Below are 27,861 nucleotides of genomic sequence, written 5' to 3'. Positions count from 1 at the left end.
CAGGAGGTATCCGTCCCTGGGGCACCCGCCCACCTCCCACCACGGCGAGGGGCGCTGCACAGGGGGAAAGGGAGGGCTTGCACCCCAACCAAGCTGCTTTGTGCAACGCTGTCACCCGAAATCCGCCACGGCCCCCACGCACGCCCCCGGAGTGGGGAGCCTCCCACCTCTGAGCGCCAGCGAGGCGGTGCGCGCCGCCCTGGACTGCGGGCGCCTCTCCGGAGCCGCGCGCCGCGCGCACAGGACGGCTGCAGCCGCGCCGCGAGCCCCAGCCTCTTCTCGGCCGCCGCCGCCGCCGCCGCTTCCGCCCCTGTCACGGCGTGACCCGGGGTGGGAGGAGCCGACAGGACTAGGGATGGGTAGGGTCCCCGCCTTCGCTTTAGCCGCAGCGCTCGCTCCGCCCTGCCCATTTCCGCCGCTGCGCAAACCCCGGCGCTTGGGGAAGTGGGTGGAGTCTGTGCAACGAGGTACGGGGCGGGAGTGGAGACGGGGCGCCGGGAGAGGGGGCGGGAACTGAGGCGGGGCGCGGGAAAGAGGCGGGGCGCGGGAAAGAGGCGGGGCGCGGGCGGAGGCGGGGCGCGGGCGGAGGCGGGGCGCGGGCGGAGGCGGGGCGCGGAGAAGTGGCGGAGGTGGAAGCGGAGGCGTACCCGCCCCTGGGGACGTCATTGGTGGCGGAGGCAATGGCCGGCAACCAGCTGTAAGCGAGGTAGGCTCACTCGGGCGCGGAGGGTGCGGGTGAGAAAGGGAACGATTTGCTAGGAGTGTATGCGCCCGTGCTAGGGCTCCCAGGAATTCTTACAAGCGTAGACAGCCTAGCAATCAGCCCTGTGAAGTGGGGTTCAGGGCAGAAGCGGAAACTGGGAATAACGAGGTCGGACAGTAAATGACCTGAATCCAATGTCCAGGATTTAAAGTGCTTCCAAAGCACTGGTGTGTTTTAATTATTTTTTTTTCTTTTTTCTTTTAGAGACAGGGTCTCCCTCTGTCGCCCATGCTAGCGTGCAGTGGCACAATCATAGCTCACTGTAACCTGGAACTCCTGGGCTCAAGTGATCTTCCCGCCCCAGCCTCCTCGGTAACTGGGACTACAGGCTCGCTGCACCACGCTTGGCTAATTTTTCAAATTTTTTTTTATAGAAACGGACTCTCGGTTTTTTCCCCAGCCTGGTGTATTAGTGATTTTTGGGAAAAAATAAGTACTGCCAAATAGTGAGTGATCCCTGGTGATGTGGGAAACTGGGGTGCTGTAAATATTCTGTCTTGCTCTGCGGTGGTTACACAGGTGTATGTATATGTAAAAAATTCACCGAGTCATACTCTTTTAAGATGTGTGCACCTTAGGAAAGTTTCTTCTCAATTTTATGAAATTTAAAAACAAAACTATAGCAGAAGCTTTTGAAAAGGTGAGAATGGAGACTAGAACAACTTGAGGACTTTGTTTGTGGGCAGAAATTTTTGTGAAATTTCCCTTCCTTAATTCTTGTAATGTGCACTTTTTTTGTATTATAGAAATAAACTTTATTTCTCTAGAAATGATGTATACAAGTGGAGTCCATGCTGAGAAACTGTTAGAACAGCTAAGACGTTGAGCCCAGGAGTTTGAGACCAGCCTGGGTAACATAGCAAGACCCTGTCTCTACAAAATATTTAAAAATTAGCCAGGCATGGTGGTGCACCCTTATAGTCCCAGGTACTCAGGAGGTTGAAGTGAGAGGATCGCTTGAGCCCCAGTGTTGGAGACGGAAGTGTCATTACACCACTGCACTCCAGCCTGGGGGATAGAGAGAGACCCTGTCTCAAAAACAAACAACTAAGACATGATTAAGTTATGTGCATGATTTTGTTAGACAGTTCAAGTTTGTGTGAAAGGAATAGAGTTGTGCTACTCCAGGCTGCTGTGGAACTCTGATAAAGATTATGCTTCTCTTTTAAGTAGAGAACTGCTTTATGAAGCCTTGAATTTAGGTTCCAGAGTTTCTGAATGAAAATGAGAAAACTGCAACATTCTTTTGCTTTTCTGTACCCAATATAAATCAGATACTTTCTACTGACCTCTCAGAAAACTCAGAGTCACCTCCTGATACCATCAGGGTCTTGCAGAAGCCATTTGTCAACAAATATTTGCTAAGAAGTGAATTCATGTTCCCAGGTAATGAGAGAAATGCCTCCTCCCTATATCCTAAGCATACTGAGGCCAAATTTGGCAACAAAAGGGGAAATTTGCCTGAAATACATGCTTTTATGCAATGTTTGCTATTTCACAGATTAATCATTAAATTAGAACCACCAATAATAGCATGCTAGTATAATCCAAACTAGTTTCACTAATGATTTAAAGGGAATGTTAGAATAATGGTGTTATATTGTCCTTAATATTGCAGAGTTGACATTGAAAGGAAAGGCATTTTCCTCATACATTCAGATGGATCTGCAGTTATGGTCTGTCAGCTGAAGAATGAGAAGTTCATAATTTAGAAAGGAGAACTCTTTCTCATGAATGGTTTCAGACTGTAGAGCAGCCATTCTGACTGGCTGAGAAGTGTAGCCGCAGGCCAGAAGCCAGAAACTGACACTTCCAGGGAGGGGCAAAGGGAACAGGAATTTATGCTGAGGAAGGTGGCCAAATATACATATTCAGTAAGCTGTAGGATGACTCATGAATATTTATGAAAGGAGGAAAGTACCCATGAGTAATTGAGCTTCATGGGTACCATGCACAAAAAATGGCGGTGTTACCACAATCACAGGATGGAGTTTTTGGCCCTCTTATATCAAAAGGTGAAGCAGAGGACAGAAAAACCCTTACTGTGCATTCTCAGTAGACTGGCCAGAACCATTCTGTGGTCTGTGATCTCTTATCAGGCACAAAAGGAGGGGCAGCATCAGGGGGTTGGTTGATATCAGTGGTAGAATCTTTTGAAAGGGCTGGTTTCCCTTAAGTCCTTATAGAACAAAGCCTAATTGTGGTTAGCAAGAGAGGAGGTATAGAGTTGTATCTGACGCTCTATCTACTCTTGGCCCAGAACTCAGTTTTCAAGGTTACTCTGGGGTCCCGTTAGCCAAGAAAGTGTGTAGTGAGCCAAGATCGCACCACTGCACTCCAGCCTGGGCAACAAGAGCGAAACTCCATCTCAAAAAAAAAAAAAAGAAAGAAAGAAAAGGAAAGAAAGTGTGCCTTCAGTCAGTTGAGAGGCTTTGAATTTTATTGTTAGTTTACATTGTACATGTCTTTTTTCAGTTTCCTTAGTGTGCATTTCCCATGCAAAAAAAGAAGCTGTAGAAAATTATTTGAAAATACAAATGTGTGGAGTAGAGATAGGATATTGAACTATGGTTCAGTATCTACTTTAATCTGTTTTTGCTGTCTCCTGAAAATAACAGAATTTTTTTTTAAGGCATAAAGTACTAGGATAGCCAGGACAGGAGAGACAAAATTAGTAAAATTTTGGAAAGGCAAATGGACAAGTGGGAAAGGATTTTGCAACTTCAAGGAAGCTGAATTCTAAACCAGCAATGAGAAAAGCCATTGAGCAGCCCAGTTTGCAATACAGAATCCCCAAATGCTCAGGATTAGCAGCACCAGGTACCTCCATAAAGTGTGAGAGTATGGTTGAAACAAGGAGGATTGCTTGAAATGCTGGTTCAGAACAGGCCAAATCCCCAGATCCTTTTCTCAACTTCTTGCAACCAAGTGTGTACATCTCACCACACCAGCAGGCTTTGGGGATTTATTCTCTGGAAAGGGTAAAACAAAGAGTGTCTGTCTAGACTGAGAAGATATGATACACAGTTGAGCATGGGAGTATACAGGAAACGTGAGGATTAATTGAATACAGCAAACTGGATGCTGGGACCCTCGCCCACTTCTCTTCTTTTCTTATATGAGTATATGACAGTGGCTCCAACGACAGAATCCTTAAGACAGGAATTGGGAGATCCATCTATGGAAAGTCTGACTACCACAAGGAAATTAAAGACATTAGCCAGGCATGAGGGTGTGCAGCTGCAGTCCCAGATACTTTAAAGGCTGAGGCGGGAGGATCACTTGAGCCCAGAAGTTTGAGGCTGTATTGTGCCACTGCACTACAGCCTGGGTGACAGAGCGAGACCCTGCCTCAAATAAATAAATAAATAAATAAATAAATAAATAAATAAATAAATAAATCTAGGTTTCCAAATGAAATCCACTCACATCACCCTACATTATAAGCCCCACCCACATTCTTTGCCTTCATTCATTTTATACCTATTCTTTTTTTTGTTTTTTTCTTAAGACAAGGTCTTGATCTGTAGCCCAGGCTGGAGTGCAGTGGCACCATCATAGCTCACTGCAGCCTCGAACTCCTAGGCTCAAGCCATCCTCCTGCCTCAGCCTCCTGAGTAGCTAAGATTACAGGCATGCACCACCATGCCTGGCCAATTTTAAAACTGCTTTTGTAGAGATGGAGTCTCACTATGTTGCCCAAGCTAGTCTCAAACTCCAGGCGTCAAGCCATCCTCCCACTTTGGTCGCCCAAAGCACTGGGTGATTGATAGCAAAAAAAAAAAAAAAAAGAGAGAAGAAGTTAAAAAAATGAGAATTAAGGTAAATCTTTCAGAAAATAGTACAAAAACATGAAGATATAGAAAAATAGAAAAAAATGAGAAATTTACCATACCGGGTCAGAAGATTCTAGAGACAAATAATAGGGGTCCCAGAAGGAGAAATAAAAAAAGCAGAGGGATGGCCAGGCTCAGTGGCCCACGCCTGGAATCCCAGCACTTTGGGAAGCCGAGGCTGGTGAATCACATGAGGCCAGGAGTTCAAGACCAGCCTGGCCAACATGGTCAAATCTCATCTCTATTAAAAACACAAAAATTAGCTGGACCTGGTAGTGCATGCCTGTAATCCCAGCTACTCAGGAGGCTGAGGTGGGCGTGATTCTTCACTAAACCTTTAGGGTGCCCAACCCCCTATGGCCCCCACACTTCTAACCAAGAATTTGATACCCAGCAGAGCTATGCATCAAGGATGAGGAATAGTCTAACCGTGTTTTATACATGCAAAATGGAAAAACATTCTTTTTCTTCCTTGTGCTCTTTCAGGAAGCTCTGGAGGTTAGGCTTCACCAATATAAGCGTGGTCACTAAAAAATAACAACAAAAAAAAGAGGAAGACATGAAATAAAGCTGGAGATTCAGACAAGAAGGAAATCTCCAGAATGATGATGAAGAGCGATCCCAGAAAGCTAGCTGTCTACCAAGATTAGAGAATAATCAGGGCAGATTCCAGGAGAGAATTCTCCAAGATGATATTGATAGTATAGCTGATGACTGGAGAGACTGACTGTGTACTGATAGGAAATTGGGACAATTGGCAGAATTTAGAGTTGAATTAGGAGTAAGTACAATAATGCCTACGTGATGAAGCCTACATAAAAACCCAAGAGGATGGGGTTTGGAGAGCCTCCTAATAGCTCAACAGGTGAAGGTCCTGTAGCTAACACATCTCTTCAAGTATATTCTTCGCAGTATCCTTTATAATAAATGTGCAAAGATAACTAAGTATTTCTCTGAGGTTTGTGAGTTGCTCTAGCAAATTAAGCAAACCCAAAGTGGAGGGTGTGGGAACCCCAACTTGAAGCCAGTGGAGGCCTGGACTTGCAACTGGTGTCTAAGTGAGGAGGGAAATCTTAGGGACTGAGCCCCCAACATATAGAATCTGACACTATCTCCAGGTAGGTAATGTCAGAATTAAATCAGAAGATACCCAACTGGTGTCCAATATTTGGTGTGCTGGGGGAAGAACCCCCACATTTGGTCACAGAAATCTTGTGTGTTGATGATTGGGGTGTGAGAGCAGAGGAAACACTAATATTAAGATAGAATTCAGTTTATTTAATGATCTCTTGTAATGTGTATTAAGGGGTATTATTCTACCACCAGACGCACTGAAAGTAATTTTTTGTTATCACTTCTTATTGGATGTTGAAATGGCAAGGTGCAGTGACTCACACTTGTAATCCCAGTGCTTTGCGAGGCCAAGACAGAAGGATCCCTTGAGCCCAGGCGTTCTTTGTTGTCTGGACAACAAAATGAGAACCATCTCTATTAAAAAATATATATATACAAAAATTAACCAGGTGTGGTGGTGTGTACCTGAAGTCCCAGCTACTTGGGAGGCTGAAATGGGAGGATCGCTTGAGCCCAGGAGGTTGAAGCTTGCAGTAAGCCAGGGTCTCCAGCCTGGGTGACAGAGCAAGACCTTGTCTCTGAAAAAAAAAAAAACAAGGAAAGAAAGATTAGCTGGGCATGATGGTGCACACCTGCAGTCCCAGCTACTTGGGAGGCTGAGGCAGCAGAATTGCTTGAACCTGGGAGGCAGAGGTTGCAGTGAGCCAAGATCACACTACTGTACCCCAGGCTGGGAGACAGAGTGAGACTCCATCTCAAAAATAAAACCAGAAATAAAAAAAGAAAGAAATATTTTTAAAAAGTCATACTGCTAAGAATAATAGGTTTTCATTTAGTTCATCAATAGAATTCCAATGACCTTAAATGACAACATTGCAAATATTTTCCACGTAGGCACGGAAGACATATGCTTGTGAGACAAAGGTGTCTCTGAAACTATGGATGGTACAAGAACTTCACTTGACATTGAAGAGTACTCGGATACTGAGGTACAGAAAAACCAAGTACTAACTCTGGAAGAATGGCAAGACAAGTGGGTGAACGGCAAGACTGCTTTTCATCAGGAACAAGGACATCAGTAAGAAATATTTGGTATACAATAGAGAAATGTTCTATCAAAAAGTGACTTTGAGATAGAAATAATAAAAGTACACATTATTTGACTAACTTTTAGGATGCACATTTAATTCTTCACATTTTTGTGTCTCCCGAGTCACAGTGCATCTGTGGCATGATGTAGTTTAATTGGCAGAGTCTTTTCTTCCCACAGTGTGTAAATAATGGTGTGGCTTACAAATGATGACATCTTAGATTTATAAAATATGTTCTTTGATCCCTACGGCACCTATGTATTGGCCCTGAATATTTATACCTACAACAGGTGCTCAAGCAATGTTTATGCTTACAATTCTTCATACTGAAAATCAGTGGTGTCTGACTTTGCTTTCCAATAGGATGTGTTCAGATGTTAAAGAATTATCTCTATGGTGGGAGAAAAGAAGTTGCGAGAAATTATAAAGTGAGTTAGGATGTTGTGCAATGTAGTAGTAGTCTTCATAGCAGCAATAAATCATGGGACCAGTGCTGAGTAAAGTGGTTGTTAGAGACATTCCTTGTTCTGGGCAGCCACGCCCATCTCCCCAGGAGATGACATCATCATCATCATCATCATCATACCAGAAACACTGGGTTATTTCTGTCATGTGGATGGCCTTAGAAGAGCCACATCTCCACAGAGGGAATTACAAGAAACTACAGGAGTTACACTTCTCAGGTTTACTTCCGAGGCTTGAGTACACGTTTAGAGAACGTACCATGAAATTAATGTTGAAAAATCCATGGCTCCAGAGGCTCCATCACCCCCAAAATAGTACATATTTAGAGAATTAATAAAGAATTTTCAAAACATCCCCAAGAAAAAAAAATTATTTTTAATTACTAATCAGGAAAGCCCTGGGTGTAAGTCAGATTTACCACTGACTGGGTGTGTGTCTGAGCAAGTTACCTGTTTCTTCATATGTAAGCTGGAGATTATAATAATTAATAGTAACTGCTTATTAAGGTTGTTGGGAATATTAAGTGAGATAATGAATGAAAAGTGTTCACCTACCATACAATTGTCCTAAAACCTTTTTTTTTTTCCTCTTCAGGCTATTAAAGAAGCATTTAGATACTTTCCTTAAAGGCAAGAGTGGACTGAGGGTATTTTTTCCTCTTTGCGGAAAAGCGGTTGAGATGAAATGGTATGAGCAGATAAACATTAACAGAATTATCTTGCCTTAATGATGAATTCTTTGGGTGATTTAACAGGATGTGAGTTTTAAAACTCCATTTTCAGGAAATACACAGAAATTCCTTATTTTTCTATTAGTGATGGGTATATAATTGGAAATAATATTCTCAAACAGTAAGAAACAACAGAAACAGGTATGAAGTCTTTCTGGATTGAGTTTTGAAATTAAAAAATCAGTTTGGAGCCAATGGGGGGAGAAAAAACAGCCTTCCCTTTTACATTTCCTGGATCCTTGTATGTGGTTCAGTTTTTGTAGGTGGTTTAGGAATTTAGCTAAGTTAATTTTTAGATATTTGAAATGGTGGTGGACAGAGAAATTCAAAATGAATTACAGCTTTTTGGCAGGACAATGTTCATAGTCCACAGTTCAGCTCAACCTTCCCCTCCCACCAGGGAACACAGGAGTTTCTGTTATCGTGAATCATTGTTATAAAACCAGTGATTAAGAAAGTATTTCTTGTGAGTAATTCTCTACAAAGAGAATTCACTTTAACAAGCCACTTTTACTATGAGTTACCCTAAAGTCACCTCGACATCATTCTCTATACTGAACTCTCTTGTAATGATAATATACAGATACAATCATACCTGCCAAGATATGCATTTATTTATAAGCTTGAATGTTGAGAACTTTGACCACTGAGCAGGAAAGAAAAAAGAATGTATGAAAAGGTTAGTAAATGCGCCAGGTGTGGTGGCCTCCGCCTGTAATCCCAGCACTTTGGGAGGCCAAGACAGAAGGATCTCTTGAGCCCAGGAATTTGAGACCAGTCTGGACAACATAGACCCTGCCTCAAAAAATAAATTTAAAATAAAATATTAATAAATGTAAAATATAATAACCTAAAAAATGGTCTATTCTGAATATAAATATCGGTGACTAACGCAGAGTATGCATGCATTTTTTGGGAGTTGATTTTCAAGTAGAGATGATAGAATTTTTGCAGCCAGCAACCAATCAACTGTAGCTGAGAGCCTTTGTTAGAGGGCTGCTATGACTTTAAGATTCAAGTGTGGTCATGAAATTGAGAATATTTAAACTATATTATGACATATATTTTAACCAATTCATTGAGCCAGAAGAGATAGTTACTTTCAAAATTACCCTCAAAAAAAATTAACTCTATAAACAGATTGTCATGTGATGTCACCATAAATGGTAACAATGTAGTACAAACAGGTTCTGAGGCAACATTAGGAAAATGGTATGAAATAGCCAATTAAATGTGATTGTTGAATATTTGGGGTCTAAAGCCATTTGTAATAAAGACATTACAAAAAATATCAGAACTGGCCAGGTGCGGTGGCTCACACCTTTAATTAGGTGAGCGGATCACTTGAGGTCAGGAGTTCGAGACCAGCCTGGCCAACATGGTGAAAACCCATCTCTACTAAAAATACAAAAATTAGCCAGGCATGGCAGCGTACGCTTGTAATCCCAACTACCTGAGAAGCTGAAGCAGGAGAATTGCTTGAATCCAGGAGGCGGAGGTTGCAATGAGCCCATGCACTCCAGCCTAGGTGACAGAGTGAGACTCTGTCTCCAAAAAATATATATATATGTATATATACGTAAATACAGTTATTTTTATGTATATATATATATGAACTGAGCTACTGTAATTACATGTAAGAAGTTAAGAAGTTATGATAGTAGATGATTTTTCATTTATGTAACTGATCTATGTATTGAGGTCTATACAGACATGAGATGTGAATAGAAAAACTGACCATGAGCTAAGGCCAAAAAGCATTAAAACAAAATGTTTAAGATATTTAGGTTTAGGTTTTTGGTTTTTTGAGACAGTCCCACTCTGTCACCCAGGGTGGAGTGCAGTGGCATGATCATAGCTCACTGCAACCTTGAACTCCTGGGCTCAAGAGATCCTCCCTCCCAACATGCTGGGATAACAGGCATAAGCCACCACACTTGGTCTTATTTTGTTTTTATTACAGGTTGTAGTAGGCTATGCTTCATTTTTCCATCTGTTGAATGGGAAATAAAAACACATACAGCCAATTTGAATAATGTTTTTGTTTACATTTTATAACTTAAAAAATGTAGGGAGAATTTTTAAACTCCCTGTATGTTTACAGATATCCTAAGAAATACGAAAGATGAAAGACAAGTTATATGTTTCATTTTACAACTAAACAGTTCATGCTCTGCCCACATTGAAAGTACGTACTCTTTTGTAGATAAAAGGTACAGTCAGTCCTGCTATACTTGTTTCAAAACTGAATTCTAACTCAATTGATATATTAGGGAAAAATTTGAGCATGAAATAAATTTCACATTTGCTTGTGTGTGATTTCATCTATAAGAAGCCTTAGGTAAAAGCAGAAAACTGCACCCAGTTGAACTAAACCAGGTATGAATAGATGGAATGCACCAACATCCCCCAGCTACCTTAGTGAGCATTAGGTCTTTTTCACCGTAAAGTGCCATATTGTAGTATTTATCTATTTCTCAACCATTTAACATGTATAAAACTGTTATTATTAGGTTCCTGTTTTTGTTTTTTAATGTGGCACTGACCAAGTTTTTAAATGCTGTGCCCTCACTTTCCCCACCAGCCTGGGGATTTTTAGTGCGTGATTTAGCATAGTGCAGTGATTTTAGGAAGGCACTTGTTACATTATAGCAGAACTATGTTTTTATTTCACTTGACATAAAATCATAACTGTGCCTAGATATTTGTACCACTGGTACTGTTTTCTCTTGAGTCCAAGATCCTGAGACTGAATTCTGTTCATTATAAAACTTACCAGGACTGTAATCCCAGCACTTTGGGAGGCTGAGGCAGGCAGATCATTTGAGGTCAGGAGTTCGAGACCAGCCTGGCCAACACGGTGAAACCCCGTCTCTACTAAAAATACAAAAATTAGCCGGGTATGGTGGGGCACACCTGTAATCCCAGCTACTCTGGAGGCTGAGGCAGGAGAATTGGTTGAACTCGGGAGGTGGAGGTTGCAGTGAGCTGAGATTGTGCCACTGTACTCCAGCCTGGCTGACAGAGTGAGATTCTGTCTCAAAAAAAAAATTTTTTTTGAGGAAAAAATTTTCCTCTTTTCCTCAAAATTACCAGGAAAAGCCCGGGTGTGGTGGCTCACGCCTGTAATCCCAGCACTTTGGGAGGCTGAGGCAGGTGGATCACCTGAGTTCGGGAGCTCGAGACCAGCCTGGCCAACATGGTGAAACCCCGTCTCTACTAAAAATACAAAAATTAGCCAGGCATGGTGACAGGCACCTGTAATCCCAGCTACTCAGGAAGCTGAGACAGGAGAATCGCTTGAACCCAGGAGGTGGAGATTGCAGTGAGCCGAGATTGTGCCATTGCACTCCATCCAGCCTGGGCAACAAAGTGAGACTCCGTCTCAAAAATAAATAAATAAATAAATAAAATTACCAGGACAATGCTATTTGTATATGATAAAATATACAAATTTTTGGATAGTGTTTATTTTAAGCAAATGGAAACTACAAGATTAGTATACAAATGAGTGCTAATGTTCTAGACCTGTTCACTTTAGTACAGTAGCTACTAGCCACATGTGGCTATTTAAATGTAAACTAAATAAAATGTAAAATTCAGTTCCTCAATCACGAGGAACCAATGTGGCTAATGCCTATTTTATTGGACAGCGACAGATATAGACATTTTCATCAATGCAGAAAATTTTAATGGGCAGTGCTGATTTAGAGAAATTGAAAAGCATTTCCTCTAGTCAAATCAATTTGTATTAAATCAGTATTTTGTTATATATCTATAATTACATTCCAACTGTTTCATACATAAAAAAAGATATATATAATTTTCCAAATTTTTATTGTTTCCTGAATTCATATAAGTCAGTTTTTCAGAATTTTTATAAGGTTTGAAAATAATATAGATCTGCTTTCCTGCATGTTCTTTGAAACCCTATGAACCTGAATTCATATAAATTCCTCTAAATTAAAGAAAATATATGCTTACTCTAATATAACCCTCTATTTAGTCATTTGAAAACATAATTTAAGTGTAAATGTATGATTTTATGCAGGTTTGCAGACCGGGGACACAGTGTAGTTGGTGTGGAAATCAGTGAACTTGGGATACAAGAATTTTTTACAGAGCAGAATCTTTCTTACTCAGAAGAACCAATCACCGAAATTCCTGGAACCAAAGTATTTAAGGTTTGTTTTGATTTGGGTAAATAATTGTATCCATATCCCCACAAAAGTTTTTCTCAGTGTGAGTATTATGAGGATACCATTCATGTGTCCGATGGTTCCTATTTAGCACGCAGATTCACTGTAGATACTATATAGTATAAGAAGCAAGGGCTTAAAAATATAGGTGATAGCTACCTAAATAGGTATAGACATATGTATATAAAAGCTGAGGTCAAAGCCTCTCTGTACTCAAGCTTTTAGGCTTGTTTTATTTTTATTAACACGCATTTTCTGAGAACCCATCATGTGCCAGACCCTGCCTAAGACATTGAAGAGATAAAGATAACACAGCACACCCCCCTCACTCCCACCCCTAAAGAATCTCTTAGTTTAGGAGAGAAGAGAAACAGGGACAAAGCTATTTGTAATGCATGGAGCTAAGTGTAAAGACACAGGGTATTAAGGGAAGAGATGGGAGTTACCTGCCCAACCTGGCGGTGCTTCCTGAAGCATGGTGACAGATAGAGCTGGAATCAGGCAGGGCCTGGGTCCATGGTCTTGGACACCTCGGGAAGATACTACTTAAATCACCCATGAGGCCTCATAGGAAGTGATTTGAAGGGAAGTAGCCTCCTGGCAGAGAGACAGGAGGCTATGGCAGTGGTCCAGGAAAGACATCATGAATCCCTGAGCAAGGAGAGTGATGGGGCATAGAGAGTGGTTAGGATGGATTAAAGCAACATTTACGATAGACCCGCAGGATTCTGTGACCGAATGAGGACCAAAGGAGCGATGAGTTCACATTTCTGGCTCAGATGACTGGCTGGATGGTCAAGAATAAATGAGAAGGGCAGAAAGAATGAATCTTTTTCTAGAGATGATGAGTTTAAGGGACCTGTGGAGTGGTGAAGGTTTTATGTCTGAAGCATGGAGTGAGGTTTGGGCTCAAAATGATAGGTTTGGGAGTGGTCTTTATGCTGTGAGCAGAATGAGCCAGTGTAAATAAACAAACACTACCCAAGTGGGAACAAGCAGAGAGAATCTGGCAGAGACTCAAAGGCAGGCAGAGGAGTGGGGAAGCTTAAAAGTGGACAAAAGTAAAAGCTCCCGGCATGTGCTGTTGCGAGGCTGTTGGCACAGGGAAGCTGGAGGTGGGCAACTAGGAACGGGGCATCCTATGTGATTGGTTTGGGGAGCATGTTTGCCTTTCTCTGGCTGATCCTAAATTGGAAGAAGTGTGGTAGTAAAAATCAGGGAAGCTGGCAGTCATTGACCAAGTCACTGCAGAGGTTGTGAAGTGGCTACCTTGTCTGGGGTAAATTCCCCAGGTTCGTCGTCTTGTGCCAGGAAAATTTAGGACAGAGACACACATGAGGAGTTCAGGAGTGGAGGTTTAATAGGCAAAAAAAAAAGAGAAAGAGAAAATAAAACAGCTCTCTCTTTAGTGAGAGAGAGGGGACTTCCGAGAGGAAAAAACCTGCCAGGTGTAGAAGCGCCGGATTTTATAGTGCAGCCTGAGGAGTCAGTGTCTGATTTACATAGGGCTCACAGATTGGTTTGATCAAGTGTGATGTTTACATAACGTGCTGGGAAGGCTGGTCGCCCCACCCTAATCTTATTATGCAAATGAACTCTTCCCTTCGCTGGCACCATGTTGTCTGCTTCTTACTCTACAGGTGGCTGACAGAGAAGGGAAGATAGAGCCACCATTTTGAACATGATTGGCACAAACTGCCGGCATCTATGTCTGCAGCTCGATTTTATAGGCTGCTCTTTGTTAGAAAGGAAAAATGATTTGAGGCTGCTTTTCATTAAGAGGAAAACCTTCCGTATCCTCCCTATCTGCCTTAGTAATTTCTTCTTAACTCCTGAATCAGTTGTGGGGTCAGAGTTGTATTGTCATATAGGATCTATTGTCCATCTGTATATTCAGTGTCTCACAAAGTACTCTTTTCTAAATATTGAAATTAATTGCTCAGCTGGGCATGGTGGCTCATGCCTGTAATCCCAGCACTTTGGGTGGCCAAGGTGGGTGGATCACTTGAGGTCAGGAGTTCAGGACCAGCATGGCCAACATGGCGAAACCCCATCTCTACTAAAAATGCAAAAATTAGCTGGCTGTGGTGGTGCATACCTATAATCCTAGCTACTCTGGAGGCTGAGGCAGGAGAATCGCTTGAACCTGGGAGGTGGAGGTTGCAGCGAGCCAAGATCGCACCACTGCACTCCAGCCTGGGCAAGAGAGTAAGACTCTGTCTCAAAAAAAAAAAAAAAAAATTGTTGCTCAGATCAGTAGGAAGCTTGATGGTATTTTTTATTTCACATCTTCCTCCCACCTCATTCTCAAAGCATTAAAGAATCCAAGGAGTTTACTCAGTCCAAAAAGGGCTAGTCCTGCTTCCAGGCCCCTCTTGGAGCAGCAGTTCCCCGCCCAGGCTGCACATTTGAAATCATCTCTGGATCTTATAAAAATTCCCAATCCAAAGGTCTTACCCCAGGCCAATTATATCAGAATCTATAGGGGTAGGGCCCTGGCATCAGTACTGTTTAAAGCTCCCCTTGATTCCAATCTGCAGGCAAAGTTGAGATCCAGCTGTTCTCCTGCCTCCAGGCCCACCCATCTCTGGGCTGACCCAGTGATCCCAGGCTGGTTGTCAAAGACCCTTCCTCCTCTACTTGTAAACCTGTGTGGGGACCTCATTTCAGAATAAAATCTAGCAGTCTTGTGTGCTGACACACCTTTCCTACACTGCCCTTCACCCCAGCTCCCAGGATCCTAAAGTCTATGTTATATTGCCCCCTCTTGGAGTGTGCCCCCAGTCCACACCCTAGAGTGTCACCCTTTCAAAAGTCACCTCTTTTTTTGTTTTATTCTCTTGATTTTTGTTGTTGTTGTTTATTTTTTAGGATTATTTTGCTCCAAGTGTTTGTTTTTGAGACAGGGTCTTACTCTCACACAGGCTGGAGGGCAGTGGCACAATCACAGCTCACTGCAGCCTTGACCTCCCAGGCTCAAGTGACCCTCGCATGTCAGCCTCCCAGGTAGCTGGAACTACAGGTGTGTGCCACCACACCCATCTAATTTTTTCTGTAGAGTTGGAGTTTTGCCATGTTGCCCAGGCTGGTCTCATACTCCTGGGCTCAAGCGATCTGCCTGCTTCAGCCTCCCAAAGTGCTGGAATTACAGGTGTAAGCTGCCACACCTGGCCAAAAGTCACCTTTTGTTTAGTCTCCCTGATGCTCCCAGGCAGGCCCCTGCTCTGCCTTCTGTGTTCACATAGTTCGCAGGCACAGAACCACAACAGAGCAGGCCATTCTGGATTGTAATGTTCTCTGTGCCCACGCTTCTCTGCTCTAGTCTGTCCTCACTGTGGTCAGAGACTGTGTCGAATTCAAATCTACTGTCAAGAACCCAGGATAGATGTCTTGTCTATTAGGTACTCAGCAAATAAATGCTCATTGGCTGAATGAATGAGCAAAAATGGAAGAATCAGCACAATTGCACATTTCTGGAATAACTTAAAATACCTGACTTTTCAGTACCACCCTGCCTGATAATTGGTTGACCTGCAGATTTATCTTTAGCAGAGTAAAAATATCACTCTGCTCGAGGAAACATTGTTAGAATTTTATAGCAAGCTCTGAAGTGAGTAACAGCCAACTGATCTTCAAAGTTGTCCTCTGTGATATTCCTCTGAGTTGGCCCAAAAGAACCTCGCACAGGTTTTAAAAGAAAAAAATAAGGTGCCAATAAAGTGCAGTAAAATTATTTACTTTAATTATGTTTAATTAACACATTCTTTCCCTAGAACTTTTGCTTTGCTTGGCCCTCTTTCCTTGACTATTCAAGTACTTACTAAGTAAAAAAAAAAAATTTTTTTTTCATTATTTCATTACAGAGTTCTTCGGGGAACATTTCATTGTACTGTTGCAGTATTTTTGATCTTCCCAGGTAGGTTGAATACTACATCTGCACTTTAAAAAATTTGAATGCTTGCCAGGCAGTGCAGGCATGGGAGTGGAGGTGTCTTCCTCACTCTCTTCCTCCTGTGTAACATCCACAAAGCATTTTTTTGAATGTCTGTTCTGCAGATATTTTTATTACACACTCGTCTGCACACTTTAATGTGTTTTGTCTTTGGTTAGCTCCCAAACTATGGGAAACTGAGGCAGCTAGGGAAAAAGAAAGGTGAGTAAGACAGTGTCTTCTACCTTGCACCTGGGCCTGTAATAGAAATGAATTTCAAGTAGCCAAGGGAGATAAGAGCTCATCTCCTGAAAGTCCCTGATACCTGAGCCAGAGGCTGGGGGCAGAGTTGTTGCACACTGTCCTTTGTTCCTTCTTCATGTCCCCAAATCATAACAGAGTGGGGAGGCTGCTGCCACAGGCTCCTAAAACCATGAGGGGATGGACAGCTCTCCACACCCAGGTCCACACATTCCTCTAGGAGGAAACGCAGACGTGAGATCCTAATACCTTGACGATTGTTGAAGTACCAGCATGCACCATGGGGGACGCTGCTCATCTTCTTAAAGATTTGATTTTTCTCCCATAAAATGTTTTTTCTCTTTCTGGTAGGACAAATATTGGCAAATTTGACATGATTTGGGATAGAGGAGCATTAGTTGCCATCAATCCAGGTGATCGCAAATGGTAAGTAATTTTTCTTTTTTTGTTTAGCTGTCTTAATTTTTTAGTATACTATACTTTTTCTGGGTTCTAGAAAATCAGCTTAGACTTCTATGAGTTTGAAATAGGTTATTATGTTTGGAATTTATAAAAACCTAAATCCAATACTAGCTTTGTCTAAAAAGTATAGGATTTGACTACAGAGACCTGGGTGTAAGGCTATAAGGCTTGTGGCTCAATCACTTTCAAGCTGTGTGGCCTTGGTCCAAGTATTCAACTTCTCTAAGCTTTGGTTTACTCCTGCAAAATGGGAATATTTCTGTAATACTAACACAATCATCACCACCTCCACTAATATTACCAGGTAATACTTACTGGTCACTTGCCTATTCCAGGTATTGTTCAAAATACTTTATGTGGGCTGGGTATGGTGGATCATACATGTAATCCCAGCACTGTGGGAGGCCAAAGCAGGAGGATTACTTGAGCCCAGGAGTTTGAGACCAGTCTGGGCAACAAAGCAAGACGCCACCTCTACAAAATATTTTTAAAATTATCCGACCGTGGTGGTATGTGCTTGTAGTCCCAGCTACTTGGGAGGCTGAGGCAGGAGGGTGAGCCCAGAAGTTCAAAGCTGCAGTGAGCTATGATCGTACCACTGCACTTCAACCTGAATGACAGAGCAAGACCTTGTCTGTAAAATATTTAAAAAAAAAAAAAAACAAAAAAATCAAAATATTTCATGTGGTTTAACATTTAATTCTGTAAGGTATAAGCTACTATTCCATTATACAGATGAGGAAACTGAGGTCAAAGAGATTAAGTTACTTGTCCAAAGTTAAGCAGCTGGTATGTGACAGAGTTGAGATTCAAAACCAGAGTGTTTGGCTTTGAAGTCCATACTTGTGGCCGGGTGTGGTGGCTCACGCCTGTAATCCTAGCACTTTGGGAGGCCAAGGTGGGCGGATCGCCTGAGGTCAGGAGTTCGAGACCAGCCTGGCCAACATGGTGAAACCCCATCTCTACTAAAAATACAAAAATCAGCCCAATGTGGTGGCCTGTAATCCCAGCTACTCAGGAGGCTGTGGCAGGAGAATCACTTGAACCCAGGAGGCAGAGGTTGCAGTGAGCCAAGATGGCGCCATTGCACTCCAGCCTGGACGACAAGAGCGACCCTCCATTTCAAAAAAATGAAATAAAATAAAGTCCACACTCATGATCCCTTTGTTAGACTACCTCAAAGGATTTTTGTGGGAATTGAAAGAAATGAAATATGTAGGAAATACCTTGTCATCTCTAAAGAACTGTATAAATGAGAGCTGTTATTATTGAAGCATTGTTATTGATGTTTTTGATGACCATTCTTATTATACCGAGTCTTGTTAGAAAATAAAATTAAAATATGAGTGAGGAAGCATACTGAGTAAAATGTGACCACATCTGTATACTCTTTCAATTAAAATAATGTCATTTATGTGCTTACTTGGATATAGCATGGAAATATTGAATTACTTAGTTGTATGGAGCAGACTCATCACTTGGCCAAAAAGGAGGCTGGGCGCAGTGGCTCACGCCTGTAATCCCAGCACTTTAGGAGGCTGAAGTGGGTGGATCATGAGGTCAGGAGTTCGAGACCAGCCTGGCCAACACAGTGAAACCCTATCTCTATAAAAATACAAAAATTAGCTGGGCTTGGTGGCGCACACCTGTAGCCCCAGCTACTTGGGAGGCTGAGGCAGGAGAATTGCTTGAACCCGGCAGGTGGAGGTTGCAGTGAGCCGAGATTGTGCCACGGCACTCCAGCCTGGGCAACGGAGTGAGATTTCATCTAAAAAAACAAACAAACAACCAAAAAAAAAACAGGTTAGGCTCCACATCAGTGAAATAAGATTTTTATTTTTAAAAATTGTTTCATCAGTAAGGCTTACTGCCAAACCTAATCTTTTTAAATTAGACCATGCCGCATCTTAATTTTCATGCTCCTGTTTCCCTCTTTTTCTCACTGCTCCTCCTTTATCTCTTTTCCAGAACTCCCATCCTCCTTGCATGCCTAAAAGTCGTGATTCCCCAAGGGACCACCATCCTCAGCCTTATGCTCTCACCCAAAAATTGCCAATATTTGTCCTACCAGAAAGAAAAAAAAATTTTATGAGAGAAAAATCAAATCTTTTTTTTCGAGACAGAGTTTCGCTCTTGTTGCCCAGGCTGGAGTGCAATGGCACTATCTCGGCTCACCGCAACCTCTGCCTGCCAGGTTCAAGCGAATCTCCTGCCTCAGCCTCCCAGGTAGCTGGGATTATAGGCATGCTCCACCACACCCGGCTAATTTTTTTGTATTTTTAGTAGAGACGGGGTTTCTCCATGTTGGTCAGGCTGGTCTCGAACTCCGGACCCCAGCTGATCCACCCGCCTCGGCCACCCGGTGCTGGGATTAGAGGTGTAAGCCACCACGCCTGGCTGAAAAATCAAATCTTTAAAGATCAATTCTGTTACTTTCATTCAGCTATTCAACAAATATTTACTAAGTTCCTGTGATGTTCCAAATAGATAGTATGCCAGAGGCGGGGCAAGTAACTGAACAGATTATACATGGTATTCGCTCTGACAGTCTTTACATTTCCAGCTCTGTTCTTTCTCCCAAACATCCACATCACATGTCCAGTGTCTGCTTTGCACTTCCCATGTGACATCAGTGTCCTTTAACAACTCAAAATATCACCGAGACCTCTGTCTCCGTGAGACACATTTGTATATGAAACCCCATCTGCTAATGTCTAAATTTGTAGGTGTTTCCCACTCCCTGAAGATGATCATCCATTCCTTAGAGGTTAGTCCTTCTACAGGCTCTGGTTGGCATGGTAAAATCCACCAAGCAGTGGGAAGCAAACTAAAAGTCACCACGTGCAGACCAAGAGCGGACCCAGCACTTTGGGAGGCTGAGGTGGGCAGATCACCTGAGGTCAGTTATTTCCCCAGTGTCTGATATAATATATATTTAGCACCTAGTAAGAGCTTAATAAATGTTGTTTAAATAAATGAATGGAAGAAGTGAACTGCACTCTGAGCAAGGGCGATATTAGTTTACTATGTACTGGTAGTATCTTAGGGTTTTTTTTTGAGATGGAGTTCCACTCTTGTTGCCCAGGCTGGAGTGCAATGGCATGATCTCGGCTCACTGCAACCCCTGCCTTCTGGGTTCAAGTGATTCTCCTGCCTCAGCCTCCAGAGTAGCTGGGATTACAGTAGCGCCACCACACCCAGCTAATTTTGTATTTTTACTAGAGACGGGGTTTCTCCATGTTGGTCAGGCTGGTCTCGAACTCCCGACCTCAGGTGATCTGCCCACCTCGGCCTCCCAAAGTGCTGGGATTACAGATGTAAGTCACCGTGCCCAGCCTTATGTTAGTATTTTATATATGTGCTGGTACTTAGTATCTTAGTTCTTTATCTACATGCTGGTACTCAGTACTTACCATGTTAGCACATTATATTGGTGCTTTCGTTAGGACTGGGTGTCTTCTCCTTAGATTGTACATTGTCAAGTACTGATGTATTTTCTGCTGTGACTCTCGAGTTCTTGCCTAATGTAAACCAGTAGGGCAGACCTCATTTTTCTGGACTTTTTGAGACTGGTTGAGAGAGAAAAACTTCACATTCTAAGAGGAATGAAGTCTTTCAGTCCTAGGAAACCCTACCAAACCAGTCTGACATCCCCCTCATGGGGACAGCAAGTTTCTTCTGAAAAATGAGAATCAGAAAGTAACAGTTTCTGTTCAAAAGTTTGCTTTGATGTGGTTCTTTCACCTACAAGGAAGAGTGATCCACTGGTGAATTCTCACAGTTTGTGAGGTGGTTATTAGTCTTATCCTCATGTTACAGGTGAGGAAACTGAGGTACAGAAAGGTTAAGAATTTGTCAAGCTTACATAGCCAGTCAGTAGAGGAGCTGGGGTTTGAGCCTGGGCATCTCATAGAGTCTGCACTTGCCTCCCCAACTTCTGGCAGACCTCTGGACATAGATCACAGTCTAGCCAGGCTCCATAGAAACTGGAGTGCCAAGAGCCCAGGCTCCTTCCTCAGTGTGGGGAAGGGTGTCCATCTTTGTCCTTGGCCTGTCTCTCATGGCCTCTCTACCACCCTGCATGCGTCTCCTGTCCTCTCCTTATCCCTCAGCTTCCTCCATTTTTATTCCCACATAGCTGACTTGCCTTCAACGGTCAGCCTCCTTGCTCCAACCACCATACAATACAAAAGCTCCAACTTTCAGTAGGACCACAGCTAATTAGCAATTCCTCTTTGGTCTCTTAATTCAGTTTCCAAGTCAGTCATCTGATTGGTCAACTCATCGTCTGTACCTGGTCCAGCCCTGGCTTCTGCTCAGTCTATTGATGGGTCCTGTTAGCATCAGCTTCCCACTCTGAGCCAATCAGACCTGGCTCCCTGAGGCACCTACTCAAAGGACAGTTCCATTGCACTCATGGTTTATGCCACACTTGCAGAGCTTTAATTTCATGCCACCTTTTTTTGGCCTGCTTGTTACTCTCATTTCTAACTAAATAGAGGAAAAAAATTGTGTTTTCTCTTACATAAGGCCCCTGGAGGGGTCCCAGTCACCCAGGATATTTGTTAAATTGCAGCATCCCAGGCCCCATGGCAAACTAACTGCATCGGTCTGTGGGGATGGAGCTCAGGCATCTTTTCTTTCAACAAGCACCCCAGTGATTTTGACACCCAGCCTGGTCTAGAAACCACTGTCCTCAAGCACACAGGCATCCAAGGTCAGCAGGCCCTCGAGTACCTCATCAGGCCAGAAGGAGTCTCTACCCATCCTTATGTAATGTCTTCTGCTCTGATCAGCTCTGGAAGCAGGCCTCGATTTGATTCCCATCTGGACCAATTCCCAGCTTAGGCAGGGGCCATAATTTGCTAAACCCATTTCTCACTTTTAAAATGAGAATCAACCTCTTGTGATTATTAGGAGAATTTAAACTCAGTAGTATCAGCGAAAGTAACTTCTGGCTTCCTTCCCTGCCTTTTGTCCCTCCAGCCTTTGCCTGTGTAGAGAAATGTAACAAATACCTTCTTGTGTTCTTTGTAGCTATGCAGATACAATGTTTTCCCTCCTGGGAAAGAAGTTTCAGTATCTCCTGTGTGTTCTTTCTTATGATCCAACTAAACATCCAGGTAAAGTTGTTGGGTTTTTTTTTTTTCTTTTACCAGTTGCCTAGTTTCTTGATATAAATTCTATGACATGGATAAGAATTATTTTCTCCTAATTTATCTCATAGGAAGCATACTGCATATATACATGGAGATAATTCCAGTTTTGACTAATGGGAACTATAAGCATGTTTTTCTCTTCTATATTGTACATGATTTTCTTGTATTCCTTTCCCATTTTGTTTACCATTCACAATTCAGACTAGAGAAGAGCGGGGAAATGGATGATCCTGATACAGAAGAGAAATCTCATGAGTCCTATTGGGAAGAAGGAGGAATGTGGTTGGATATTGCATATCCGTATCACCCAAGTGGTAGTGATGTGTTGGACAGATGCCTTCACATACACAAGCACGGGGTGAGAAGTGAATATGGGGATGCAGAAGTTGTGCAGGAAAAACTCTAAATTATTGTCCTTTTTTAATTTCTGAAGTTTTATAATCTATCTATTGCATTCTTTTATTTGTTTTGAATCTGTTGGGGGTATGTTTTCTCCTGGACTCATTTTAATGCATTCAAACATTGAAACTTAACCTTTGTCATGGCTGGAGAAATACATAGACTTTTAATTTGTAAGAGTCACCTTTTTGATTTTCAACTGAGCTTTTTAACATGCTTGTTTTGTAAATATTTACATATGTTAGTATTTTGGTTTTTTTGTTTTGTTTTGTTTTTGAGACACAGTCTCACTCTGTGGCCCAGGCTGGAGTGCAGTGGTTTCATCTCGGCTCACTGCAACGTCCGCCTTCCGGGTTCAAGTGATTCTCCTGCCTCAGCCTCCCAAGTAGCTGGGATTACAGTGTATGCCATCACACCCAGCTAATTTCTGTATTTTTAGTAGAGACAGGATTTCACCATGTTGGCCAAGCTGGTCTGGAACTCCTGACCTCAGGTGATCCGCCCTCCTCAGCCTCCCAAAGTGCTGGGATTACAGGCGTGAGCCACCGTTCCCAGCTAGTATTTTGTTTCTGCTTGAATAAATTGGGGTCTTAAAAACTCATTAAAAGATGAGACCTAGTGTCCCTAATTAAATCAGAGACAATCAAATGGAAATAGAAATTAATAGAGGCAGAAGTTAGCTCTGCTAATCTGATTTAAATTCCATTAATGAACAGAAGCCCTAACAAAGAACCTTTGGGAAGAAAATACAGCAGGCCCTGTCTGGAGGTGGAGTCTGAGGATACTGCTCTTAGAAGGGGGCGGAAGCTCAGCTTCCTTATACTCTATATCCTGCAGCAGAGCGGGAGGGGTGTATAAAATGTGGGTGAGTGCAGGAGTTGGTAGAAAATCAGTATGCTAGAAGATGGTTGAAACCCCCAAGGAATCTGCTGATGGAATCCACTCTGATTTCAATGAGCCTAAGTCCCTTGACCGGTTTAGCTGTCTCATCTAAGCTAAAGATGGATATGATGGGGATGTAACATTGCCATCCTCTCAGTAAGTCAATTTATTTCTTTAGTATGAGATTTGCAAAAGAAGAATGAGAAGAACATGCCACATCATCACCTATTTGGATAATGAAGTTGTATGTAGAACAAGTACACCTACGTCATTGGAAATAAACTCAGAATTTATTTCTCTTTTACCTAGGTCCACCATTTTATGTTCCACATGCTGAAATTGAAAGGTTGTTTGGTAAGTTTGTGGACTTATGCTGTAACTTTTTAAACAAAGTCAAGTTAACTCTTTTGGGCCTGGCGTGCTGGCTCATGCCTGTATTTCCAGCACTTTGGGAGGCCAAGGTGGGCAGATCACCTGAGGCCAGGAGTTCGAGACCAGCCTGGCCAACATGGCGAAACCCTGTCTCTACAAAAATACAAAAATTAGGCCAGTGTGGTGGCATGTGCCTGTAGTCCCAACTATTTGAGAGGCTGAGGCATGGGAATTGCTTGAACCTGGGAGGCAGAGAGTGTAGTGAGCCAAGATTGTGCCACTGCACTCCAGCGTGGGTAACAGAGTGAGACTCCATCTAAAAAAAAAAAACCTATTGTGAACTATTAGTATATTAGTATCTAGAGTATGTCTATAAAATTTAAAAGATAAAGACCATTTTATTGAAAGTTGTTTTATCTTAGAAAAGGAACTAATCTCTGTAAATATGCTCTGTATATATGCTATATGCTCTATGTTAAAGGTATTTGAACTTTTCTAGAGAGATGGTATATTTTTTTTTATTTGTTTATTTTTGAGATAGGATCTTGATCTGTCACCCAGGCTGGAGTACAGAAGTGCAATCACAGCTCACTGCAGCCTCGACCTCCCTGGGCACAAGTGATCCTCCCACCTCAGCCTCCCAAGTTTCTGGGACCAGAGGCATGCACCACAATGCTTAGCTAATTTTTCTATTTTTTTGTAGAGATGGGGTTTAACCACATTGCCCAGGCTGGTCTCGAACTCCTGGGCTCAAGTGATCCTCTTGTCTTGGCCTCCCAAAGTACTGGGATTAGAGGCATGAGCCGCCATGCCCAGTGGTGTATTTATTTTTACTCTTGGGAGTTAAAAGTGATAATAACAATTCAGAGTTCAGGAAATTTGCCCTTAGCATTCCTCTGTTTTGATTAAAAAGAAGAGAAAAATGTTTAGTGTACACTGTTTTTAAAATAATTTCAAGGTTTTGTTTGTTTGTTTTGAGATGGAGTTTCGCTCTTGTTGCCTAGGCTAGAGCGCGATGGTGCAATCTCAGCTCACTGCAACCTCCATCTCCCGGGTTCAAGCGATTCTCCTGCCTCAACCTCCCAAGTAGCTGGGATTACAGGCATGTGCCACCATACCCAGCTCATTTTGTATTTTTAGTAGAGACAGAGTTTCACCATCTTGGCCAGGCTGGTCATGAACTCCTGACCTCAAGTGATCCACCTGCCTCGGCCTCCCAAAGTGTTGGGATTACAGGTGTGAGCCACCGCACCCAGCCAATTTTGAGTATTTTTAAAAGAATCCCTGATGTCATTCTTCATAGTATTTTAACATGTTACTCTTTCTTGTTTCAGGTAAAATATGCAATATACGTTGTCTTGAGAAGGTTGATGCTTTTGAAGAACGACATAAAAGTTGGGGAATTGACTGTCTTTTTGAAAAGTTATATCTACTTACAGAAAAGTAAATGAGACATAGATAAAATAAAATCACACTGACATGTTTTTGAGGAATTGAAAATTATGCTAAAGCCTGAAAATGTAATGGATGAATTTTTAAAATTGTTTATAAATCATATGATAGATCTTTACTAAAAATGGCTTTTTAGTAAAGCCATTTACTTTTTCTAAAAAAGTTTTAGAAGAAAAAGATGTAACTAAACTTTTAAAGTAGCTCCTTTGGAGAGGAGATTATGATGTGAAAGATTATGCCTATGTGTCTTGCAGATTGCAAGATATTTTACCAATCAGCATGTGTTACCTGTACAATTAAAAAAATATTTCAAAATGCAATGCATATTAAATATAATACACACAGAAAAACTGGCATTTATTTTGTTTTATTTTTTTGAGATGGAGTTTCGTTCTTGTTGCCCAACCTGGAGTGCAATGGTGCAATCTCAGCTCACTGCAACCTCTGCCTCCCAGGTTCAGGTGATTCTCCTGCCTCAGCCTCCTGAGTAGCTGGGATTACAGGTGTGCGCCACCACGCCCAGCTAATTTTTTGTATTTTTAGTAGAGACAGGGTTTCACCATGTTGGTCAGGCTGATCTCGAGCTCCTGACCTCAGGTGATCTACCCACCTCGGCCTCCCAAAGTGCTGGGATTACAGGCGTGAGCCACTGCACCTGGCCTGACATTCTTTATGAAATTTAGAATTGTTGAAGAACTATAACATTTCAGTAGGGTTCAAGGTGGTCCCAAAAGTTATATAAAAGATTAGTTTTTACTATAAACCCTTGTCTTTTACTCAGATCCTAGCATCCCTTTTCACATGGTTTCTCCATGTATATAACAGAATCAAGAAACAAATTTTAATTAAACAATCTGTAACAGAATCAAGAAACAAATACATTTTAATTAAACAATCTATATGGAACAAACATTCCCAAATTCTAAGAATAAATTTTTCTTTAAGTTTTCTCTGAGTTTGGCAATTGTTGTTTTTTATAATTTAATCTGTTTAAATCATCAGGTCTTATAAAATATAATGTACTTAGAGCTGGATTCATGGCTGTTTATTATGAAAGGTTAGATTTCTCAGTTCTTCTTTAACCACATTTTGTTATATCAGACAGTCCTCTATAACTCTGTACTACCCAACAACTAAATGGTTTAGATTGTTTAGCTCATGTTAATAGGATGGTTGTGTATTATAAAAAACGAGTTACGTGTGTGTGTGCACGCATGCACGCACATGTGCTGGCTTAAAGGTTGTTAATGCAAGGTTTGGGGTCCCCTTTAACACTGGTGAAAGCTACGGTACTCTCCCCAGAGATATGTCTTGTCAGCCTCTCTAGTTCCCCTTGGCCTGCATGTACAAACTTCTACCCTAGAAGCTCTCTGCCATCGATGTATTCTAATAGATTTGTAAGGCTATTAATTTGAAGCAACTCCTTGCTCACAGTGATTCTTGCTTCTCTGAGACCTGCTCCCAGTCGATACTGTGGGCTTCAGAAGCCATGACTCCCCAACTCTGCCTGTATCACCGGTTGAATGGACAACTAACCCGAGCTGGACCAACACAATTCTCTCCAGAGACTTTTGATTTTACTTTTATGTAGAGACAGGGTCTCACTTTGTTGCCCACGCTGATGTTGAACTTGACGTGAGGCCTCAAGCAGTCCTCCTGTCTTGGCCACCCAAAGTGCTAGGATTACAGGTATGAGCCATTGCGCTGGCCCTCTTCATAGGCTTTTGGACTTGGGAATAGAAAAGCAACCCCGTCTCTACTAAAAATACAAAAAAATTAGCCAGGCGTGGTGGCACGTGCCTGTAATCCCAGCTACTTGGGAGGCTGAGGCAGGAGAATCACTTGAACCTAGGAGGCGGAGGTTGCAGTGAGCTGAGATCATGCCACTGCACGCAAGCCTGGGCAACAGAGCAAGACTCTGTCTCAAAAGAAAGAAAAAGAAAAGAAAAAAAAGAAAGGCAAGTTGACTGCTGAAAGGGGAATCTGTGTACGCCTGGGAGCTGTGGGGCAGCCACATTCCAGCACATGGATCTGAGAAACAGAACGCTGATCTGCAGAAAGAGATGAGAACCAAAGAGAGGCCACCTGCGTCCTGGGTCCATTTTCATCCTCCCTGAAGCCCAGCTGCCCAGGGTGGGGAGAAACACCCTGTGTCCATGGGATAGAGTCCTTTCCGCTTGCAGTTGTGCCCAAAGAATCTTAAATACAAATGAGATATCCTTAGGTAGTTGATCATTTATGTAATATGTGTCTTCACTGGGGAATACTGACTTCCTAAAATCTCAAGATGGAAGATATACCACATGTAAATTATTTTAGAGCAATTAAATTGTTTTCAGGATTTTCCAAAAATGCTTCTTGTTTCATTTTATTATTTAAGTAACAGATTATCTGAGCCTCTGTGCCCTGCACACAGTGGTTTATAAATGCCTTGCCCTGCCTATGAAGCAGGCATGAATGCTCCAGTATAGACAGTGTTATCACTAGCAGACAGGACAAAGTAAGAAAGGTACGTAATAATTAATCTATTTGGGTGAATGTGGAAAGAAAAATACAAAGAAATATAACCAAAGCTTAAACAGCTATCACTGGGAAGTCAGAGATTTGGCTCCATAAAGAATGGTTTAGGGACCACAGAAGGTGGCCCAAAAGATGTACCTATGAGAGAGCTCCCAGCTGACGGGATTCATTGGCAGCATGAAGTGACAAATACAAATCTAAGCCATGGAGATATTAGTTCAAGCAATTTACCAAGTCGCAACTGTAGTACATACCTGTCATTGTT

General features: G+C 42.3%; 2 protein-coding genes across 34 annotated transcripts in view, besides 2 other annotated features; one reads left to right on the top strand and one right to left on the bottom strand.

The window, feature by feature from the left end:
• Window positions 1-317, bottom strand: part of KDM1B (lysine demethylase 1B) — a 68,433-nt gene extending 68,116 nt beyond the window's left edge. For all 29 annotated transcript variants that reach the window (NM_001439117.1, NM_001439118.1, XM_017010445.3 and 26 more), the window contains exon 1: window positions 168-317. The gene's annotated coding sequence lies outside the window, so the exon portion shown is untranslated. The remainder of the gene's footprint in view (window positions 1-167) is intronic.
• Window positions 57-616: a silencer, noted in NCBI's record as "silent region_16969". NCBI's record gives its function as "represses an Ori minimal core promoter by ATAC-STARR-seq in GM12878 lymphoblastoid cells {active_cell/tissue: GM12878}" and the evidence as "EXISTENCE:reporter gene assay evidence [ECO:0000049][PMID:35858748]".
• TPMT (thiopurine S-methyltransferase) lies at window positions 570-27,428 on the top strand. 5 transcript variants are annotated; one of them, NM_001346817.1, is given in 10 exon segments: window positions 570-706; window positions 5,086-5,464; window positions 6,568-6,751; window positions 7,824-7,916; window positions 12,011-12,143; window positions 16,022-16,074; window positions 16,702-16,776; window positions 21,850-21,935; window positions 23,562-23,606; window positions 24,959-27,428. In NM_001346817.1, coding segments are annotated over 8 exon segments (738 nt in total). In that variant the 5' UTR covers window positions 570-706; window positions 5,086-5,464; window positions 6,568-6,611; the 3' UTR covers window positions 25,072-27,428.
• Window positions 7,820-9,019: an enhancer, noted in NCBI's record as "P300/CBP strongly-dependent group 1 enhancer chr6:18146951-18148150 (GRCh37/hg19 assembly coordinates)". NCBI's record gives its function as "activates an origin of replication core promoter dependent on BRD2, BRD4, P300/CBP, MED14 and CDK7 cofactors, with strong dependence on P300/CBP, by STARR-seq in HCT116 cells {active_cell/tissue: HCT116}" and the evidence as "EXISTENCE:reporter gene assay evidence [ECO:0000049][PMID:35650434]".

The sequence above is a fragment of the Homo sapiens genome, chromosome 6 (genome assembly GCF_000001405.40).
Source record: "Homo sapiens chromosome 6, GRCh38.p14 Primary Assembly".
NCBI classification, from domain to species: domain Eukaryota; kingdom Metazoa; phylum Chordata; class Mammalia; order Primates; family Hominidae; genus Homo; species Homo sapiens.
This window is presented reverse-complemented; position numbering and strand designations above follow the sequence as displayed.

Excerpts from the sequence above, each read along its gene's own strand:
- TPMT (NM_000367.5), top strand. The coding sequence starts at position 6,612 with ATGGATGGTACAAGAACTTCACTTGACATTGAAGAGTACTCGGATACT. Across the intron at positions 21,936-23,561 it reads TGATCCAACTAAACATCCAG|GTCCACCATTTTATGTTCCA; the intron begins GTAAAGTTGTTG and ends TCTTTTACCTAG. Across the intron at positions 23,607-24,958 it reads TGAAATTGAAAGGTTGTTTG|GTAAAATATGCAATATACGT; the intron begins GTAAGTTTGTGG and ends TTCTTGTTTCAG.